The sequence below is a fragment of the Homo sapiens genome, chromosome 12 (assembly GCF_000001405.40).
Source record: "Homo sapiens chromosome 12, GRCh38.p14 Primary Assembly".
NCBI lineage: Eukaryota > Metazoa > Chordata > Mammalia > Primates > Hominidae > Homo > Homo sapiens.
Window position 1 is genome coordinate 121,349,056 of NC_000012.12, and position 6,000 is coordinate 121,355,055.

The 6,000-nt window shown below is 47.0% G+C and overlaps 1 protein-coding gene across 3 annotated transcripts in view, besides 4 other annotated features; it reads right to left on the reverse strand.

Annotated features, from left to right (window-relative positions):
- Positions 1–5,154, reverse strand: part of ANAPC5 (anaphase promoting complex subunit 5) — a 45,965-nt gene extending 40,811 nt beyond the window's left edge. For 2 of the 3 annotated variants that reach the window (NM_001330489.2, NM_016237.5), the window contains exon 1: positions 3,079–3,356. In NM_001330489.2, the coding sequence (NP_001317418.1) occupies positions 3,079–3,285 (207 nt within the window). In that variant the 5' untranslated portion in view covers positions 3,286–3,356. Of the gene's footprint in view, positions 1–3,078; positions 3,357–5,047 lie in introns of those variants that run through there. The other variant, NM_001137559.1, reaches the window with a different exon arrangement.
- Positions 2,431–3,106: an enhancer, noted in NCBI's record as "H3K27ac hESC enhancer chr12:121789289-121789964 (GRCh37/hg19 assembly coordinates)". NCBI's record gives its function as "activates a minimal SCP1, AML or CMV promoter by ChIP-STARR-seq in primed H9 embryonic stem cells {active_cell/tissue: H9 hESC(primed)}" and the evidence as "EXISTENCE:reporter gene assay evidence [ECO:0000049][PMID:30033119]".
- Positions 3,099–3,358: an enhancer, noted in NCBI's record as "active region_7162". NCBI's record gives its function as "activates an Ori minimal core promoter by ATAC-STARR-seq in GM12878 lymphoblastoid cells {active_cell/tissue: GM12878}" and the evidence as "EXISTENCE:reporter gene assay evidence [ECO:0000049][PMID:35858748]".
- Positions 3,783–4,458: an enhancer, noted in NCBI's record as "H3K27ac-H3K4me1 hESC enhancer chr12:121790641-121791316 (GRCh37/hg19 assembly coordinates)". NCBI's record gives its function as "activates a minimal SCP1, AML or CMV promoter by ChIP-STARR-seq in naive and primed H9 embryonic stem cells {active_cell/tissue: H9 hESC(naive and primed)}" and the evidence as "EXISTENCE:reporter gene assay evidence [ECO:0000049][PMID:30033119]".
- Positions 4,459–5,132: an enhancer, noted in NCBI's record as "H3K4me1 hESC enhancer chr12:121791317-121791990 (GRCh37/hg19 assembly coordinates)". NCBI's record gives its function as "activates a minimal SCP1, AML or CMV promoter by ChIP-STARR-seq in naive and primed H9 embryonic stem cells {active_cell/tissue: H9 hESC(naive and primed)}" and the evidence as "EXISTENCE:reporter gene assay evidence [ECO:0000049][PMID:30033119]".

The following is a 6,000-nucleotide window of genomic DNA, read 5'->3' on the forward strand; positions in this document are numbered from 1 at the left end:
GGAGTTCGAGACCAGCCTGGACAACATGGTGAAATCCCATGCCCAGGCTGCTCTTGAACTCCTAGGCTCAAGTGATCCTCCCACGTTGGCCTCCCAAAGTCTAGGCACCAAGCCAAAAATTAACTAATTTAAGAAATCAAACAGTTAGTAAAGGAGTTGAGGTCTGGCTGGGATGCTACTAGATGAACTCTACATACATTTTGATTAAAACTATACAGTAGGGGGCCAGGTGTGGTGGCTCATGCCTGTAATGCCAGCACTTTGGGAAGCTGAGGCAGGTGGATCCCTTGAGCCCAGGAGTTCAAGACTAGCCTGAGCAACATAGGGAGACTACATCTCTACCAAAATTTAAAAATTAGCCAGGCATGGTGGCAGGTGCCTGTAGTCCTAGCTACTTAGAAGACTGAGGTAGGAGGACAGCTTGAGCCTGGGAGGTGGAGGCTATGGTAAGCTAGGATCGCACCACGGCACTCCAGCCCAGGTGACTGAGGGAGTGAGATCCCACCACTCTAAAAAAATTAAAAAAAAAATAAATTTAAAAATAAAAAATTAAATAAAATAACTATATAGTAGTTAGCCAGGTTAAAAACCAGAAAGAATTCCAAACAGCAAAAAACAACATGAGCAGGAAGGTGAGAGTTAAGAGACCAGAATCACTGTTTCTATTTTTTTTTTTTTTTTGGAGACGGATGCCCAGGCTGGAGTGCAGTGATGTGATCTCAGCTCACTGCAACCTCCACCTCCTGGGTTCAAATGATTTCCTGCCTCAGCCTCCCGAGTAGCTGGGACTACAGGCGCACATCACAATGCCCGGCTAATTTTTTTTTGTATTTTTAGTAGAGATGGGGTTTCACTGTGTTGGCCAGGCTGGTCTCGAACTCCTGACCTCAAGTGATCCACCCACCTCAGCCTCCCAAAGTGCCGGGGTTACAGGTGTGATCCCACCCGGCCTTTTATTTACCAAAATTTTAGTATTATAACTTTAATAATGGAGGGAAATGCATTTATAGTAATAGCAGACGTGGCTAGCCCTGGGAGCCACAAGTTATAAAGACATCCCTTTTATTTAACTGGGTAGGTCTCTTGACCATGGTGTCCTCAGTTCTCCCCTCTTCCCATGCCCCTCACCCACAAATACAAGTGATAAATTTTTTAAAAAAGCCTTTATAAACTATACTAAGGAATATAAATGCAACTCTAGACACTAATTTTATTAGGTTTATCTTTTAAGATCCCATAATATAGAGGCCCAGGGACCCAGATCTGTTTCTGCCATCACTGTTACTCAACAGACAATGCTTATCCATCAAGGCACAGCTTCACACTTTCTGTAAGAAATCCTCGGGCCGGGCGCGGTGGCTCATGCCTGTAATCCCAGCACTTTGGGAGGCCGAGGCGGACAGATCACGAGGTCTGGAGATCGAGACCATCCCGGCTAACACGGTGAAACCCCGTCTCTACTAAAAATACAAAAAATTAGCCGGGCGTGGTGGCGGGAGCCTATAGTCCCAGCTACTCCGGAGGCTGAGGCAGGAGAATGGCGTGAACCCGGGAGGCGGAGCCTGCAGTGAGCCGTGATCGTGCCACTGCACTCTGGCCTGAGCGACGGAGCGAGACTCCGTCTCAAAAAAAAAAAAAAAATCCTCTCCATGAGTGCACTCATCCACCTCTATCGCATTTCATTCATTTTACAAAAAACTACTCAGGCATTCTAGGAGGCTTTGGGGATGTACCAGTAAACAAAAACAGGACTAAGTACTGAGCTGGTGGAGGTTACCGTCTAATGGGAGAGAAGGCCATCACTCACGTAACCATGAATATAAATGGAAAAACCACAACTGATATAGGGGAAGGTATATGCCATATGTGAACACACTAAAATGAAAATTCTAGTAATATTGAGCATTTACTACATGCTAGTAACAGTTTCTACTATTGTTCCCATTTTACAGAGAGAAAACTGAGACCCAAATGAATTAAGGAACTTAATTATCTGAGCTAAACCTGTGTCTGCAAAATGAAATAACACATGACGGCCGGGCGCAGTGGCTCACTCCTGTAATCCCAATACTCTGGGAGACCAGACGGGAGGATTGCTTGAGTCCAGGAGTTCCCGGCCAGCCTGGGTAACATGGCAAAATCCCGTCTCTACAAAAAATGCAAAAAAATTAGCTGGGCGTAGTGACCCGCGCCTGTACTCCCAGCTACTTGGGAGGCTGAGGTGGGAGGATCACCTGAGCCTGAGAGGTCGAGGCTGCAGTGAGCCGCGATCACACTACTGCACTCCAGCCTGGGCGACAAAGCGAGACCCTGTCTCAAAAAAATAATAATAATTTAAAACAAATTTTAAGTAAAGTGCTTAGCACACAGTTAAGTATTCAATCAGTGCTCGTCCTTGGCTTTATGCCTTTTTTTTTTTTGAAACGGAGTCTTGCACTGTCGCCCAAGCTGGAGTGCAGTGGCGCGATCTCGGCTCACTGCAACCTCCGCTTCCCAGGTTCTAGCGATTCTCCTGCCTCAGCCTCCCGAGTAGCTGAAATTACAGGTGCCCGCCACCACGTCCAGCTAATTTTTTGTGTTTTTAGTAGAGACGGGGTTTCACTACGTTGGTCAGGCTGGTCTCGAACTCCTGACCTCGTGATCCACCCGCCTTACCCTCCCAAAGTGCGGAGATTATAGGCGTGAGCCACTGCGCCCGGCCCGGTTTTATGGCATTTTTACTGTTTATTACGGTCCTCTAGGATAGGGAGCCTGTATGACTTATCCCTGTGTCTCCAACGCTCTATTGTATAGCCCCATTTTAAAGAAGATACAGGATCTGAGACTCTAACTCTCAGCTAATAAATACTGGAGCCAGACATGAACTTGCAAAAAAAAAAAATGCATGTAAAGCGCCTGGCCCACCGTAAACGCTCAGTACGTGTTAGCTACCGGTAGTAGCTATCTTTATTTCTTCACGTTCCTCCAGGCAGGGAGAGTATCTGATGGACACGAGTGTCCCCAAGCCCAGGGTTCCGCACAGAGCAGATGCTCAGTAAAAGTTTGCTGCACGAGCAGGAGCCAGCGGGCGCCTCTCACCTGCAGCAGGGGCAGGAGCAGCTGGTTGAGCCTCCGCCGCTCCATGAGGCTGACGGCGCCCTCGCCTGTGCGGCTCATCTCGTTCAGCAGCACCAGCACCGCGATCTTGTACGGCGTCACCCAGTCCTTGATGCCGAACACATTGGCGTGCACAACCCCATTGGTCATCATGGGATTGAAGTAGAGGCTCTCGTGGACGCTGGCCATGGCGGCCCGAGACTAAGTCTCGGGCCCGCGGCGCGCTGCCGCCAGTTGTCACCACAAGGCACAACACTACCGGGTCTACATCTCCGCCCGCCCTCACAATATCCCAGGAAACAGACATCCGCGTGCTCGCGGCATTTGTTAACCAATCAGAGCAGTCTGTCAGAGCACATGGGAGAGCGACAGCCAGTCAGAATGTACAAGAGTGCGGGGAGGGGTGCACCAAAAGACTGACTCCCTACAGAAACTTTTGCCGAGTGGGAGCAGGTTCCCAGGCTACGTGGACAGGGACCGGATGGGAGGGGAAGTCGATGCTTGGGGTCGGGGCTGAAGGGACTGAGGAGCTCCCAAAGTGGTTTTTTTGTTGTTGGTTGTTGTTGTTGGTGGTGGTGGTGGTGGTTGTCGTTGTTGTTGTTTGAGACGATATCTCGCTATGTTACCAAGACTGGAGGGCAGTGGTTATTCGTAGACGCCCTCAAAGAGCACTGCACCCTCCCAAATCCTGGGCTCGAGCGATCCTCCCGCCTTCCCGAGAAGCTGGGACTACAGGCAGCGCGCCTGGCTTGTTCATGTAATTTGAAAATAGTTCAAATAGAATGTTTAAATGATTGTGTTTAAAAGTACCGAAATTAAATTTGCACCCTTAAAGTATGTATTTATTATGTTACTTTTAAACTCAAATGTTTAGGAGTTTAACTCTGTCTTTTTAAAGATAGGAACATGAGATTTTTCTTCAGCGTTTCACAAATGCCATTTGCAGACAGCCAGATCAGGTTGCCAGTGGTCGTGTATCCTTACGTGAAATAGAACATTAGCAACATCACCTCCATGTGCTGAGTCAGTTTCCTACCTAATAAACTACAAAATCTATACTCTGCATTTCAAAGCCCTCCAAAAGCAATCCCCAGCCAACATTTTGAACCTGATTTTTCACAATTCCCCTTCCGTTCATCTGTACCTCTCCCAAGACACTTAGTTCTCTATACCCTGAATTATTATTAATGATCTGGTATCCCTATTAGTCTTTATGTCCCTTGAAAGAAAAACCACATACCATTCAACTTTGGCTATCCACATGCACACACTGTGCCTTGTGCCTTTTGTTTTGTTTTGTTTTGTTTTGAGACGGAGTCTCCTCTGTCGCCCAGGCTGGAGTGCAGTGGCGCGATCTCTGCTCACTGCAAGCTCTACCTCCCTGGTTCACGCCATTCTCCTGCTTCAGCCTACCGAGTAGCTGGGACTACAGGCATCGGCCACCACGCCCGGCTAATTTTTTGTATTTTTAGTAGAGACGGGGTGTCACCGTGTTAGCCAGGATGGTCTCAATCTCCTGACCTCGTGATCCTCCCGCCTCGGCCTCCCAAAGTGCTGGGATTACAGGCGTGAGCCACCGCGCCCGGCCTGCCTTGTGCCCATTTTTATGTTTGTTTAAATTATACTTTCTCTCTCTCTCATTCTGCTACCGAGGCTGGACTGCAGTGGCACGCTCACGGCTCACTGCAACCTCAGCCTCCAGTTAAAGTAGGTAATTAGACATGAGCAGGGCAGGAGACCCCCTCGCCCTCAGGAATGCCAGGCTCAAGCAATCCTCCCACCTCAGCCTCACGAGTAGTTGAGACTACAGGCTTGTGCCACCATGCATGGCTAATTTTTTTTTTTTTTTTTTCCCGATACGGAGTCTTGCTCTGTCGCCCAGTCTGGAGTACAGTCGCTCGATTTCGGCTCACTACAATCTCTACCTCCCGGGTTCAAGCAATTCTCCTGCCTCAGCCTCCCGAGTAGCTGGAACTACAGGCACGCACCACCACGCCCGGCTAATTTTTGTATTGTTTGTAGAGATGGGGTTTCACCATGTTGGCCCGGCTGGTCTTGAACTGGTTGAACTCCTGACCTCAGGTGACCCGCCCATCTCCGCCTCCAAAAGTGCTGGGATTACAGGCCTGAGCCACTGTGCCTGGATGCATGGCTAATTTTTTTATTTTTTGTAGACACGAGGTCTTGCGATGTTGTCCAGGCTGGTCTCGAACTCCTGGACTCAAGTGATCCTCCTGCCTCAGCCTCCCAAATTGCTACGATTAAAGGCATGGGCCACTGCATGCAGCCTCATGCCTGGTTTTTGTTTTCTCAATCGCTATTTGTTTAATGAATAATGAATGAATATGCATTATTAGTTCACAAAAACAAAAAAGAAGGCAGATATGTATAAGCTAAATGATGCTATCAAAAAAGAAGACATTGATATCTTGTAATACAAGCTTTCCTATCTTGAGAACTCTGTATGTTTTAGTTACCATACATAATTATTATATAACTATCTTTTATTTGTGAAAGGAGAAGCTGGCTTTTGCCAGGAATTTAATACTCACTTAACCTCTTTCTTTGCCTCGGTTTATTTTTATGCCTCACTCTATTAATGAAAAAGCATACTTACAATCTCCCAGCTCTTTAGGATATTTTTGCATATGTGTATACCATAAATAAGGTTTGACAAAGGGTCTGTGTGGAATAAACTAGTATTCAACCTTAAAATCCTGAGTAGGAACACTTAATGAATGGAAAGAGGAAAGTAATTTTACAAAATCCTAAATAACAATTTTACTGTAAATTGGTAAGACTTTCAAGCCATTGATTCATTTATTCAGTAACACTGTGCTAAGCTCCTGCTATATTTAAGGCACTGTTCTAGGTGCTGGGGACCAAAAGGGATGAATTTCTAAG